Raw genomic sequence first — 15,169 nt, forward strand, 5'->3', positions numbered from 1 at the left:
TAATTGAACTGTAATAAAGGCACGTGTTCAACTTCCCATATTTATGTATCAGAAATTTTGCCATAGATGAAGATTAATAGTCAATGTATGGATAGTACCTCTTGGAGTATTTCTGCTCATATGATCAGCCTCATTTTTAAAAGCAGAGAGCTTTTTTGAGTGCTAATATCCTAGAGTTAGCAATTAGTTATCTTCTCCCATCCAAATTTAATTTTAAGACTTGTACCAGGATATGTTTACATGGCCTGAATAATTTACATGCAACACACTCAGCTAGTGTTAGATTGAGCAGTATCAATGTTTGAGATGCCCATGAATTTATCAGCCTTGCTGGAATTACTCCATCCATATTGGATGTGACTTCATGGTAAAACTCCATAAACTGATTCCTCAGCCTGAACTTTGTCTAGCTCATCTTTTTTAAGATAGCCTCTGAGAATACTCTATAATCATTCTCTCTTACAGTCTCTACTCCAGTGGAAGAACCCTAATTGGCTAGCTTACCCACTCATCTCACCACGTGGACTAGTTTACATAGGCCAGAATGGTGTGGCTAGTCACATGGAGAGCATGGTATATGTCAGAAAATGTTTGTTGTGAATGATAATAAGCCGCCCAGCAACATACATTTAAACAACACCTCTGTGTCTTCTCCTACTTCTTCTTCTTTAACTTTGTCTTCCTCTTCTTTGTCGTTGTTGTCATCATCGTTGTTGTCATCTTCCTCTTCTTCTTTTTTTTTTTTTTTTTGACAAGATCTCACTCTGTCACTGAGGCTGGAGTGCTGTGACATGATCTCAGCTCACTGAAGCCTTGACCTTCTGGGCTCAAGTGATCCTCCTACCTCAGCCTCCCCAGTAGCTGGGACATGCATGCCACCATGACTGGCTAATTTTTGTATTTTTTATAGAGACAAAATTTTGCCATGTTGCTCAAGCTGGTCTTGAACTCCTGAGCTCAAGCAATCCACCTGCCTCAGCCTCCCAAGTGCTGGGATTACAGGCATGAACCACCATGCCTGGCTTATTTTCTTCTTATTACAAAAAAGTAGGACATTGTCATTGCAGGTCTTTTAGGCAAACAAAATCTAACCATTTTAAATATTTGGTTATATAACTGTTAAACTTTTTCTTTTTTCTTTCCTTGTTTCCTTCTTTCCTTCCTTCCTTCCTTCCTTCCTTCCTTCCTTCCTTCCTTCCTTCCTTCCTTCCTTTCTTTCTTTCTTTTTCTTTCTTTGCATATACACAACATACACATAAAGAGTCTTATGTAAGAATGAGGAAATTGGGTTAAAATACTTATGCTATCTGGTATCCTTTTATTTTTTCTTTTCACATGTGGATTTCTTTCCACATATGTTTGCTTTCAAAGGTTGCTTGGTGCTTTATCATCTGTAAGCATCATAATTTATTTAATCTATTTCTTATTTTCCTGTTGATGGAGATTAATATTATTTTCTACTTTTCTGTACAGCAAACAATATTGAAATGAAAATACTGATACACATATTTCACATTGTCCCATGACCATCTGCCTGGCAACTCTAAGAGAATCAATTTAAAAACTGTTAGAAAAAATAAAAATGCTAAGCAAGGTGGTCAGTTACAAAATGAGTATATCAAAATCAATAGCTTTCCTAATATACCAATAGGAGTTGGTTAGAAATTTTAATGAAAAAGGAGATCTCATTCACAATAGTAACAAAAGAACAAAATACCTAGGAATAATTAATAAAAAGTGTCTAAGACCTATGTGAGTAGAATTATAACATTTTATAAGGAAAATACATGGGGAAATAGAAATAATTGTTCATGTATTGGAAGAATCGGTAAGAATGCAAATGCTTCTTAAATTAATCTATTCTATCAACCCAGTCCCCATGGAAGTTTCAATTGGATATTTATGAAAAAGAGAGCAAGAGGGGACTGAAAAAACATACCTGCCTCTATTCCCACTTCAAATTCCTAGAAATAATACAAGCATAGATTTTAAAACTAAAATCTGTAACAATGCTGAAAAACCAGAACAGATCCTGTAGATGGATGGATGTATGTTATAAGAAATCCCTGAAGTAATTAGTTCAGATTGGATTGGAATAGCAAACCGACTGTCTAAAACATGAACAGCGTAGTTTTTCTACACAAAATAGGAGCAGTGTCAGGGAGGTTCAAAATCAGGAGTTGCCAACAGAGGAGAAAGAGGCTCTGGAACAATTCTCAGAATGACTGTGTGAGGTTCTACAGAAGGAGAAGCTGTGAGAACCAGCAATATTTGCTCCTCTCAATTGTGCCAAGCGACAGACAGCAGAAATGTTTCCCCCTGCAGAGACAATGAATGAGACTCGGGCCTCAGAGAAAGGACAGTGCCCCAGGTTGTTGATATCATATGCCAGGGAGGGTCCTAATACTAATAAGATAGGCCTGTCTTACGAAGCAGCATGTTCTCTCCCTATAATGAATAGTGACAAATACAGTTGTCCCTTACTATCCACTGGGGGATTGGTTCTAGGATTCCTATGGATACCAAAATCCATATATGTTCAACTCTCTTATGTAAAATAGCATATTTGCATATAACCTACATATATCCTCCAGTACAAGTTGAATAGTTTCTAGATTACTTACAAATAATAAAATGTAAATGCTATGTAAATAGTTATTATACTGTATTATTTTTTATTTGTATTATTTATCTAGAATATTTTCCATCTGTAATGGTTCAGTCTACAGATGTGGAACCCATAGATATGAAGGGTCAACTGTATAGTATTCTCAGATAGGCTAATAGAGAATCTCAAAATAAAAGATACACACTACCAAGAGTCATTAAGTTGTTGGAAAAACTAACATTATGAAAAAAGCCATCAGAATCAACAAATAGAAAAATGACCAGCAAAGGTCAGAATTAATAAAGCAAACAGAAAAGGAATGCAAATATGTTTTAGAATCTTCTCATAAGACTCAATTTAACTGCACCTTATTCATTTTAGTATGTGCATAGTGTTCTAGGATGTGTCATATAGTGTTTAACCCTTACCTTGTTGAAGGACATTTAAGCACTTTCCAATTTTGCCTTATTATATGCAATGTGCAAAGATGACCCATGTACAAGCCTCTTTGAACATGTATGTGAATATAACTGATATCTTCAGAGGAATGTGATAAGATACTGCAACCATTAAAAAAGTAAACTAGCCGAATATATTTCTTAAAGAGAAGGTATATCAACTATTCTATGATAAAATATATTTTGGATGGCATTCTTTAAACTTTGATGATTTATTACATACTAATCCCACCAAACAGTGGCCTAATCAAGTAACTTTAGGAGATATTTGCAAATATATTTTTTTCTTGGAGGAATAAACATTATTCAAAGTTAGATATTCTTTGTTAAAATCTTATTTTGATAAAGGCAAGTGTCTTATTACACATGCCTCAAAAATGTTAAAGCTATGAGTATTACAGCTATATTCCATGAAGTATTCAACGTGGAACAGAATTTGGGGTCTCATTCACCGAGCCACCCAGGACATAGAATTTATTCAAAACCATTTTCTGAGGAAAAGCTTGACTGGATCTGCCTATGGGTTAATGGGAAAAGGAAATCCTGTAAGTTACACAATTCTCCCTGAGCAGTTGAATTGCTTCCTTTCTTCCGAACATTGTGAATTGTGTAGCTGACCTGGTTTTCTTTTTCCCATTGGCTACCTGCCACATTTTGGGTCATAAGTTCACACTATGATGTGCATTGTAAACTTCATTCCTGTTCTCTATTTATGTCCTTAATGTGATTTTCTTTTTAGTACTTCTTTTGCTTCACTTTTAATTTTTGCTATTTCTTGTATTTTAATGTCTCCTTATAAACTGTTTTAAATTATTTCTGAAATAAAGTGTTATAAAGATATATAGATGAGTGGTGGCTAAATAAAAAATAATATACATACAACATGCAGGCCAGAAGTTATACTTCCTAATGAGTATAACACCTTAAAAATATTTTATCTTAAGAGACCATAAACATATTGTAATTGATGTTGTCACTAACAAAAACATCTTTGAAACTTCTTTTTTAGGTTTTCCTCCTCAGCTTTTGGCACAGTGTGTAAATGTCTGTAAGATTTATGGGTCATGATTATAAGACTTTGTGGGTCACTGTGGTTTCTAGAAAAAAATCCCCAAGTGTTTCATGGTAAAGCCTGCTAACCTAAATGGCTCAGTGAGCTGGGTAATCAATCAAGTTGACTTTTCTTCTCCAAATATACAGTATACGTACATAAAGTGATATGACATTTTTAAAAATGTTCTTAAAAAACTGGCATTGAAAGTGTTTCCCAAGGTACAGCTCAGAGGAGTTTGCATGCCTGTTGGCATTGTTAGGCGAAGGGCGTGCCCTTTGAGGAAGTCCATTAATTTGGATGTATTTGTTCTGATGTGTTTTTTTCAAAAGCATCTCACCACCCCCACCCTACCCCCACAACCAAGAGAAAAAGAGAAGGTTTGGTGAAGTATTAGTCATGGTAATTAACACATCACAAGAAAAGTACATACGGACTCCCACTCATTTTTAGGAAATAGAGAAAATTGCTTGGGATCCTAGGCACTTCCCATCATTCTATAATTCACCTACAATAGAGCACAGATGTGCTTTTTGTATATTCTGAGAGTATAGGGCTTCGTACCTATATTTTTATAGGTATGAAGTGGTATACCACTGTTTTATAATAGTGGTATTATGCAGTTATTTCTGGTTGGAAAACCTGAAACCATTTTGCCCCGGTGAATGACGATTTTTGAAAATCTGCTCATGATCTAGTCTTTTAACTGCAGCCCAGCATGTCTCTTTCACTGAATGTTTTATGTTTAATACAACTGCTACAGCACCATGACATCATAGAATGTTATTACTTGAAAAGGCCTTAGAGGTTATCCAGGCTGTTGGACTACAGGTAGGTATAGAACTATGTGGCACAAGGGTTCAATGCTTTGAATTGAATTCATATGCCAGTGTTGAAGTTGCTTTAACAACTACAAAACAAGCTAAAAATAATTAATACTGAGAAAGATTACTTAAGACAAGAGGATTCCAACTTTATCATAGGCAAGTTTAGGGGGCCAGTGGAAGAAGAGATACAGATTGCCAGGACCCAAGACAATGGCAAAAGTAACAAGATAATCTGTGCAATGTGGCTTGTGTCCCCACCCAAATCTCATCTCGAATTGTAATCCCCATATATCCAGGGAGGAACTTGGTGAGAGGTGATTGACTCATGGGGGCGGTCTCCCCCATGTTGTTCTCATAATAGTGAGTGAGTTCTCATGAGTTCTGATGGTTTAAAAGTGTTTGGCAGTTCACCACCTGAATGTCTCTCTCTCTCCTGTCACCATGTAAGTTGTGACTTGCTTCCCCTTTGCCTTCCATCATGATTGTAAGTTTCTGGAGGCCTCCTCAGTCATGTGGAACTGTGAGTCAATTAAACCTGTTTTGTTTATATGTTACCCAGTTTTAGTAAGTGCTTTATAGCAGCATGAAAACAGACTAATATGTGGCCCAAGATGATTTCTATGTCTAGGTTGAAGGATAAGAAGATAGATAATTAAACAGTGAAATTCAGATATGATCATGCAGCAGTTCTTGTGAAGAATATGGTCAAACATTAAAGCAGGGAATAATGATTCTTTTCTATGCAGATAGATTGCTGAGTTGCATGTAGAGTTTCTCCTGACCAGGTTGATTTGGAGTTGCCAAAAGAAGTGCTCAGCACTTATTTAAATTAGATTAAGTAGGATTAAGAGTTGTCCTGTGGCACCAACCAACATCACAGCCTCTTGACACTGGACTGTAGGATATATCAGAAAGAAAGAAGTGGTCTAGTTGGCAGGATCATCTAACTCACTAATTTTACAGTTGAGAAAACCAAGAATAAAGAGATGACTAATAAAAATGAATCAAATTGTTGGGGCAAAGCTAAAACCATTAGCTGGGTCTTCTTCTACTCCTATTTCTTCTTCTTTTTTTTTAAATTTTTTTTTCTTAAATTTTATTTTATTATTATTATACTTTAAGTTCTAGGGTACATGTGCACAATGTGCAGGTTAGTTACGTATGTATACATGTGCCATGCTGCTGTGCTGCACCCATTAACTCGTCATTTAGCATTAAGTATATCTCCTAAAGCTATCCCTTCCCCCTCCCCCAACCCCACAACAGTCCCCTGAGTGTGATGTTCCCCTTCCTGTATCCATGTGTTCTCATTGTTCAATTCCCACCTATGAGTGAGAACATGCGGTGTTTGGTTTTTTGTCCTTGCGATAGTTTACTGAGAATGATGATTTCCAATTTCACCCATGTCCCTACAAAGGACATGAACTCATCATTTTTTATGGCTGCATAGTATTCCATGGTGTATATGTGCCCCATTTTCTTAATCCAGTCTATCATTGTTGGACATTTGGGTTGGTTCCAAGTCTTTGCTATTGTGAATAGTGCCACAATAAACATATGTGTGCATGTGTCTTTATAGCAGCATGATTTATAGTCCTTTGGGTATATACCCAGTAATGGGATGGCTGGGTCAAATCGTATTTCTAGTTCTAGGCCCCTGAGGAATCGCCACACTGACTTCCACAACGGTTGAACTAGTTTACAGTCCCACCAACAGTGTAAAAGTGTTCCTATTACTCCACATCCTCTCCAGCACCTGTTGTTTCCTGACTTTTTAATGATTGCCATTCTAACTGGTGTGAGATGGTATCTCATTGTGGTTTTGATTTGCATTTCTCTGATGGCCAGTGATGGTGAGCATTTTTTCATGTGTTTTTTGGCTGCATAAATGTCTTCTTTTGAGAAGTGTCTGTTCATGTCCTTCACCCACTTTTTGATGGGGTTGTTTGCTTTTTTCTTGTAAATTTGTTTGAGTTCATTGTAGATTCTGGATATTAGCCCTTTGTTAGATGGGCAGGTTGTGAAAATTTTCTCCCATGTTGTAGGTTGCCTGTTCACTCTGATGGTAGTTTCTTTTGCTGTGCAGAAGCTCTTTAGTTTATTTAGATCCCATTTGTCAATTTTGGCTTTTGTTGCCATAGCTTTTGGTGTTTTAGACATGAAGTCCTTGCCCATGCCTATGTCCTGAATGGTAATGCCTAGGTTTTTTCTAGGGCTTTTATGGTTTGGGGTCTAACGTTTAAGTCTTTAATCCATCTTGAATTAATTTTTGTATAAGATGTAAGGAAGGGATCCAGTTTCAGCTTTCTACATATGGCTAGCCAGTTTTCCCAGCACCATTTATTAAATAGGGAATCCTTTCCCCATTTCTTGTTTTTGTCAGGTTTGTCAAAGATCAGATAGTTGTAGATATGTGGCGTTATTTCTGAGGGCTCTGTTCTGTTCCGGTGCCAGTACCATGCTGTTTTGGTTACTGTAGCCTTGTAGTATAGTTTGAAGTCAGGTAGCGTGATGCCTCCAGCTTTGTTCTTTTGGCTTAGGATTGACTTGGTGATGCGGGCTCTTTTTTGGTTCCATATGAACTTTAAAGTAGTTTTTTCCAATTGTGTGAAGAAAGTCATTGGTAGCTTGATGGGGATGGCATGGAATCTGTAAATTACCTTGGGCAGTATGGCCATTTTCACAATATTGATTCTTCCTACCCATGAGCATGGAATGTTCTTCCATTTGTTTGTATCTTCTTTTATTTCACTGAGCAGTGGTTCATAGTTCTCCTTGAAGAGGTCCTTCACATCCCTTGTAAGTTGGATTCCTAGGTATTTTATTCTCTTTGAAGCAATTGTGAATGGGAGTTCACTCATGATTTGGCTCTCTGTTTGTCTGTTATTGGTGTATAAGAATGCTTGTGATTTTTGTACATTGATTTTGTATCCTGAGACTTTGCTGAAGTTGCTTATCAGCTTAAGGAGATTTTGGGCTGAGATGATGGGGTTTTCTAGATATACAATCATGTCGTCTGCAAACAGAGACAATTTGACTTCCTCTTTTCCTAATTGAATACCCTTTATTTCCTTCTCCTGCCTAATTGCCCTGGCCAGAACTTCCAACACTATGTTGAATAGGAGTGGTGAGAGAGGGCATCCCTGTCTTGTGCCAGTTTTCAAAGGGAATGCTTCCAGTTTTTGCCCATTCAGTATGATATTGGCTGTGGGTTTGTCATAGATAGCTCTTATTATTTCGAGATACGTCTCATCAATAACTAATTTATTGAGAGTTTTTAGCATGAAGGTTTGTTGAATTTTGTCAAAGGCCTTTTCTGCATCTACTGAGATAATCATGTGGTTTTTATCTTTGGTTCTGTTTATATGCTGGATTACATTTATTGATTTGCATATATTGAACCAGCCTTGCATCCCAGGAATGAAGCCCACTTGATCATGGTGGATAAGCTTTGCAATGTGCTGCTGGATTCGGTTTGCCAGTATTTTATTGAGGACTTTTGCATCAATGTTCATCAAGGATATTGGTCTAAAATTCTCTTTTTTGGTTGTGTCTCTGTGTGGCTTTGGTTATCAGGATGATGCTGGCCCCATAAAATGAGTTAGGGAGGATTCCCTCTTTTTCTATTGATTGGAGTAGTTTCAGAAGGAATGGTACCAGTTCCTCCTTGTACCTCTGGTAGAATTCGGCTGTGAATCCATCTGGTCCTGGACTCTTTTTGGTTGGTAAGCTATTGATTATTGCCACAATTTCAGATCCTGTTATTGGTCTATTCAGAGATTCAACTTCTTCCTGGATTAGTCTTGGGAGGGCGTATGTGTCGAGGAATTTATCCATTTCTTCTAGATTTTCTAGTTTATTTGCATAGAGGTGTTTGTAGTATTCTCTGATGGTAGTTTGTATTTCTGTGAGATCGGTGGTGATATCCCCTTTATCATTTTTTATTGTGTCTATTTGATTCTTCTCTCTTTTCTTCTTTATTAGTCTTGCTAGCAGTCTATCAATTTTGTTGATCCTTTCAAAAAACCAGCTCCTGGATTCATTAATTTTTTGAAGGGTTTTTTGTGTCTCTATTTCCTTCAGTTCTGCTCTGATTTTAGTTATTTCTTGCCTTCTGCTAGCTTTTGAATGTGTTTGCTCTTGTTTTTCTAGTTCTTTTAATTGTGATATCAGGGTGTCAATTTTGGATCTTTCCTGCTTTCTCTTGTGGACATTTAGTGCTGTAAATTTCCCTCTACACACTGCTTAGAATGTGTCTCAGAGATTCTGGTATGTTGTATCTTTGTTCTCGTTGGTTTCAAAGAACATCTTTATTTCTGCCCTCATTTTGTTATGTACCCAGTAGTCATTCAGGAGCAAGTTGTTCAGTTTCCATGTAGTTGAGTGGTTTTGAGTGAGTTTCTGAATCCTGAGTTCTAGTTTGATTGCACTGTGGTCTGAGAGACAGTTTGTTATAATGTCTGATCTTTTACATTTGCTGAGGAGAGCTTTACTTCCAAGTATGTGGTCAATTTTGGAATAGGTGTGGTGTGGTGCTGAAAAAAATGTATATTCTGTTGATTTGGGGTGGAGAGTTCTGTAGATGTCCATTAGGTCTGCTTGGTGCAGAGCTGAGTTCAATTCTTGGGTATCCTTGTTAACTATCTGTTTCGTTGATCTGTCTAATGTTGACAGTGGGGTGTTAAAGTCTACCATTATTATTGTGTGGGAGTATAAGTCTCTTTGTAGGTCACTTAGGACTTGCTTTATGAATCTGGGTGCTCCTGTATTGGGTTCATATGTATTTAGGATAGTTAGCTCTTCTTGTTGAATTGATCCCTTTACCATTATGTAATGGCCTTCTTTGTCTCTTTTGATCTTTGTTGGTTTAAAGTCTGTTTTATCAGAGACTAGGATTGCAACCCCTGCCTTTTTTTGTTTTCCATTTGCTTGGTAGATCTTCCTCCATCCTTTTATTTTGAGCCTATGTGTGTCTCTGTACGTGAGGTGGGTTTCCTGAATACAGCACACTGATGGGTCTTGACTCTTTATCCAATTTGTCAGTCTGTGTCTTTTAATTGGGGCATTTAGTCCACTTACATTTAAAGTTAATATTGTTATGTGTGAATTTGATCCTGTCATTATGATGTTAGCTGGTTATTTTGCTCGTTAGTTGATGCAGTTTCTTCCTAGCCTCAATGGTCTTTACAATTTGGCATGATTTTGCAGTGGCTGGTACCAGTTGTTCCTTTCCATGTTTAGTGCTTCCTTCAGGAGGTCTTTTAGGGCAGGCCTCGTGGTGACAAAATCTCTCAGCATTTGCTTGTCTGTAAAGTATTTTATTTCTCCTTCACTTATGAAGCTTAGTTTGGCTGGATATGAAATTCTGGGTTGAAAATTCTTTCCTTTAAGAATGTTGAATATTGGCCCCCACTCTCTTCTGGCTTGTAGAGTTTCTGCTGAGAGATCCACTGTTAGTCTGATGGGCTTCCCTTTGTGGGTAACCCAACTTTTCTCTCTGTCTGCCCTTAACATTTTTTCCTTCATTTCAACTTTGGTGAATCTGACAATTATGTGTCTTGGAGTTGCTCTTCTGGAGGAGTATCTTTGTGGTGTTCTCTGTATTTCCTGAATCTGAATGTTGGCCTGCCCTGCTAGATTGGGGAAGTTCTCCTGGATAATATCCTGCAGAGTGTTTTCCAACTTGGTTCCATTCTCCCCATCACTTTCAGGTACACCAATCAGACGTAGATTTGGTCTTTTCACATAGTCCCATATTTCTTGGAGGCTTTGTTCGTTTCTTTTTATTCTTGTTTCTCTAAACTTCCCTTCTCGCTTCATTTCATTCATTTCATCTTCCATCGCTGATACCCTTTCTTCCAGTTGATCGCACCGGCTCCTGAGGCTTCTACGTTCTTCACATAGTTCTCGAGCCTTGGCTTTCAGCTCCATCAGCTCCTTTAAGCACTTCTCTGTATTTGTTATTCTAGTTATACATTCCTCTAAATTGTTTTCAAAGTTTTCAACTTCTTTGACTTTGGTTTGAATTTCCTCCTGTAGCTCGGAGTAGTTTGATTGTCTGAAGCCTTCTTCTGTCAACTCATCAAAATCATTCTCCATCCAGCTTTGTTCCATTGCTGGTGAGGAGCTTCATTCCTTTGGAGGAGGAGAGGCGCTCTGCTTTTTAGAGTTTCCAGTTTTTCTGCTCTGTTTTTTCCCCATCTTTGTGGTTTTATCTACTTTTGGTCTTTGATGATGGTGATGTACAGATGGGTTTTTGGTGTGGATGTCCTTTCTGTTTGTTAGTTTTCCTTCTGACAGGCAGGACCCTCAGCTACAGGTCTGTTGGAGTTTGCTAGAGATCCACTCCAGACCCTGTTTGCCTGGGTATCAGCAGCGGAGGTTGCAGAACAGCGATTTTTGTGAACCGCGAGTACTGCTGTCTGATTGTTCTGTTTTGTCTCAGAGGAGTACCTGGCTGTATGAGGTGTCAGTCTGCCCCTACTGGGGGATGCCTCCCAGTTAGGCTGTTCGGGGGTCAAGGGGTCAGGGACCCACTTGAGGAGGCAGTCTGCCTGTTCTCAGATCTCCAGCTGCATGCTGGGAAAACCACTGCTCTCTTCAAAGTTGTCAGACAGGGACATTTAAGTCTGCAGAGGTTACTGCTGTCTTTTTGTTTGTCTGTGCCCTGCCCCCAGAGGTGGAGCCTACAGAGGCAGGCAGGCCTCCTTGAGCTGTGGTGGGCTCCACCCAGTTTGAGCTTCCCAGCTACTTTGTTTACCTAAGTGAGCCTGGGCAATGGCGGGCGCCCCTCCCCCAGCCTCGCTGCAGCCTTGCAGTTTGATCTCAGACTGCTGTGCTAGCAATCTTCGAGACTCCGTGGGCGTAGGACCCTCCGAGCCATGTGCGGGTTATAATCTCCTGCTGCGCCATTTTTTAAGCCCGTCGGAAAAGCGCAGTATTAGGGTGGGAGTGACCCGATTTTCCAGGTGCCGTCTGTCACCCCTTTCTTTGACTAGGAAAGGGAACTCCCTGACCCCTTGTGCTTCCCGAGTGAGGCAATGCCTCACCCTGCTTCGGCTCTCGCACGGTGCGCTGCACCCACTGTCCTGCACCCACTGTCTGGCACTCCCTAGTGAGATGAACCCGGTACCTCAGGTGGAAATGCAGAAATCACCCGTCTTCTGCGTCACTCATGCTGGGAGCTGTAGACCGGAGCTGTTCCTATTTGGCCATCTTGGCTCCACCCCTATGTAATCCTCCTATTTCTTCTTAAGGATTTCTATTCAGAGCAAGAAAATCCTCTTTGGTAACTATCCTGAGGTTCAGAACTTCCTGGACTTATTAATGTTGTTGAGTTCTCCTAGACTCTACTTTTTGTGATTTCTTTATAACTCTCTGCAACATTTAAGATCTGCAACTACTTTTGCTAATTCTCTGGAAAGGAATTTTGCTTGCTGTGATGCTGCTCCCCTGAGGGGTATATTTCTCAGCAATTATCCTGCCTATCCTTTGCCCTCCTGCTTCATAAATGTCAGTTAAAATGGGCCATAATTTAATAGAAATGAAAGCTGATTAACCCTTACCTATCCTTTTCAGTGTTTGGTTTTTGAGTTGTCTCTACTTATTAGTAATTTACTTTAAAAAATGTCTCAGTGATGTTTTCTTTATTCCTAGAAAGACATGTGTGTGTAAGGGTGAGGAGTGGCATATAGGTGGGAGGAGATAACTGGAGAAAACGGAAAAGAAGAACCATATTGACTTCTTTTGTCCCTTTCCTGGCTCTTCAGTTTTGGGTCCCAAAAAGCTATGGATAGCATTTATTTTTATATAAGAGCATTTATTTTAATATTAAACAGACATGATTTGAAATCCCAGCTAGATGACCATGGGTAAGTCACTTAACCTCTGTAAGATATTTTTCTTCTTTTATAAGATAGAGGTAACAATAGTGCGTATTTGATAGGACCATTGTGGGTATTGAATAAGATAAATGAAAAATGCATAAATTAGTGCCTGGCACTTAATAGGTACTCAATAAGTGTTAGCTATTATTATAATCTTCTACCTTGAACAAGTAAACTTGCTGCATGTTTAAAAAATGTGCTTGGAATATTGAGCTTGGTGAAAAAATAATGTATTATATCTTCCACTGGAGCAATTTGAATATAGAATATCATAGTGAATGCAATAGACGATATGGGCATTTGGCCGTGAATGATTCATAAGACTTCATTTGGGTCAGGTGAAGATGCTCATTTGATTTGCTTTCCTGCTATAATCTGCATGGAATTGACACAAATTGGAGTACAGCCCAGTCTCAGTGACTTTCTTAGGGACCACGTCAATGCTGTACTTTTCTCCTCTTAATGAATTTTGTTTCCGCTTCCCACAACCCCATTCTAGCATGTGGCCTGAACTGGAGTTGCCATCTTTTTAAATGACTCCATTTTCTGGGCATGAGAATTGTTTAAGAGTGGGTACTTACACTGAACCAGACTAGTCATAGTTCTCTCTAAAGCAGTGATTCTCAGTACAAGAATATTTTGCTACCCCACAGTGAAAGACATTTGGCATTATAAACAATTTGTAATTGTTATGATGGGGATGATTGGGGGGGCTATTAGCAACTACTAGGTAAGGGTAAACAATGCTACTAAACATATACAATGTCTAGGACAGACCTCACAACAAAGAATTATCCAGTCTGAAATGTCAATAATGGTGCTGCTGAGAGACTTTGCCCTAAATATTTTTTCATTAGCAGCTGGTAGATGGGGGTTTTATATCCCAAGACTGTAATATTAGAGAGTGATGTTTCTGGGACCATGTCCTTTACCATGTCCAGAAATCAATGTAGAGAGAAGAAAGAGAGAGGCTTAACTTTGTTTAAGTCCATGATTCTAGTCATTCTTAAAGCCAGTTCCAATTTCTTCTTTGTTTAAGGAGGTTAATAAAATGCCTTATTTTGTTTAAACTAGTTTAAGTTGAGTGTTTGTTACTTGGAACCTAATAGCTCTAATGCACTGGATATGTGTACTGAGTGCAACTCTGCATCTAATTTAATTAAGTGAGGATAATGTAGTAAAATTTGAGCTGCTTCTTCTGTAGGGGTTGTTTCAGCATTGCCATCTATTAGCTCTCACCCTTGGGCCATTCAGTCTCTCAAGCTTTAATTTCCTCATTGAAAATGAGTATATTAATACCATGTGTACAGATATCAAGATATTTTATCTAAAGTGCTGAGCACGATGTATGGAATATGGTAGGTATCTATCAAATGTAAACTCTCTTCCTTCGCATTGTTTAAATATTTAAAGAACAATTTGTTTTAAGAGAAATACTTTGGAGGCTTCCTTGGTTGCTTGTTTTTGGATCTATTGGAATTTGGGATTTTTGATACAAATCTTGAGATTTATGGGGAAGACCGACTTGAATTATTGGCAACTGATCTAAAAGGGATTAAAAATGTTGAAAATGTAAAACATTTAAAATTATAAAAATATAAAAATCTACAAAGCTCGTATCCAGTTGCGGCCAAATGAATATGCATCTTTTCCTCTGAAGATTATAGTAAGAGAGAATTGACCAACTACCCAGGACAGTGCCTCCTAACGTTGAATATGTTGATAGTAATTTCCACTTTGCATGTCATTCATAGTTTTTCAAACTATGAATTTTCGAACTATGAAGTATTTCAAAAGAAACTTGATTTCTTTTCTGTTTGTTTGTTTTTGAATGTGTTTAGCTAACAGAATTCCTATGCAGTTCATATTTAACTAAATTACTACATCTTTCTTTTTAATGGCACAGCATCTCTGCCCTAGTGCTTTGTGGTCAGTTAGGAGTAGTCCCCTGAGAAAGCAAGATCAGATAAGGCCAAATGGCTTCATAGAAGCGACTTTTGAAGCTTTGCAGCTAGAAAGATAAAAGCCTGGCAAGAGAGTAAGCAGGAGTAATATGCTTTGGTGTGGATCTAATGACCTAACTGAGTTTCCTGGAATATCTGAGGTCATAAATATGTGGAATTCCCGTAATTATTCTTTTATGATAAATTTAAATGTTTGATACAACCGGGTTAGCTGAGTATGTTTATCTTAAGCCATGAAGCAATATGCTTCAAAGTTTGGTGTTTCCAGTGGGAAAAAAATTTTTTATTCATTTGGAATGTGAAGTTAAATTCTTTCCAAACAGCTCCTGTTTTGTAGGTATTTTTTTTCCTGAAAATCTGTTCCCTTTGAAAATT

The 15,169-nt window shown here is 38.2% G+C and overlaps 2 annotated features.

The window, feature by feature from the left end:
• Nucleotides 11,312-11,812: an enhancer, noted in NCBI's record as "H3K4me1 hESC enhancer chr3:26285842-26286342 (GRCh37/hg19 assembly coordinates)". NCBI's record gives its function as "activates a minimal SCP1, AML or CMV promoter by ChIP-STARR-seq in primed H9 embryonic stem cells {active_cell/tissue: H9 hESC(primed)}" and the evidence as "EXISTENCE:reporter gene assay evidence [ECO:0000049][PMID:30033119]".
• Nucleotides 11,813-12,313: an enhancer, noted in NCBI's record as "H3K4me1 hESC enhancer chr3:26286343-26286843 (GRCh37/hg19 assembly coordinates)". NCBI's record gives its function as "activates a minimal SCP1, AML or CMV promoter by ChIP-STARR-seq in primed H9 embryonic stem cells {active_cell/tissue: H9 hESC(primed)}" and the evidence as "EXISTENCE:reporter gene assay evidence [ECO:0000049][PMID:30033119]".

The sequence above is a fragment of the Homo sapiens genome, chromosome 3, assembly GCF_000001405.40.
Source record: "Homo sapiens chromosome 3, GRCh38.p14 Primary Assembly".
Classification (NCBI taxonomy): domain Eukaryota; kingdom Metazoa; phylum Chordata; class Mammalia; order Primates; family Hominidae; genus Homo; species Homo sapiens.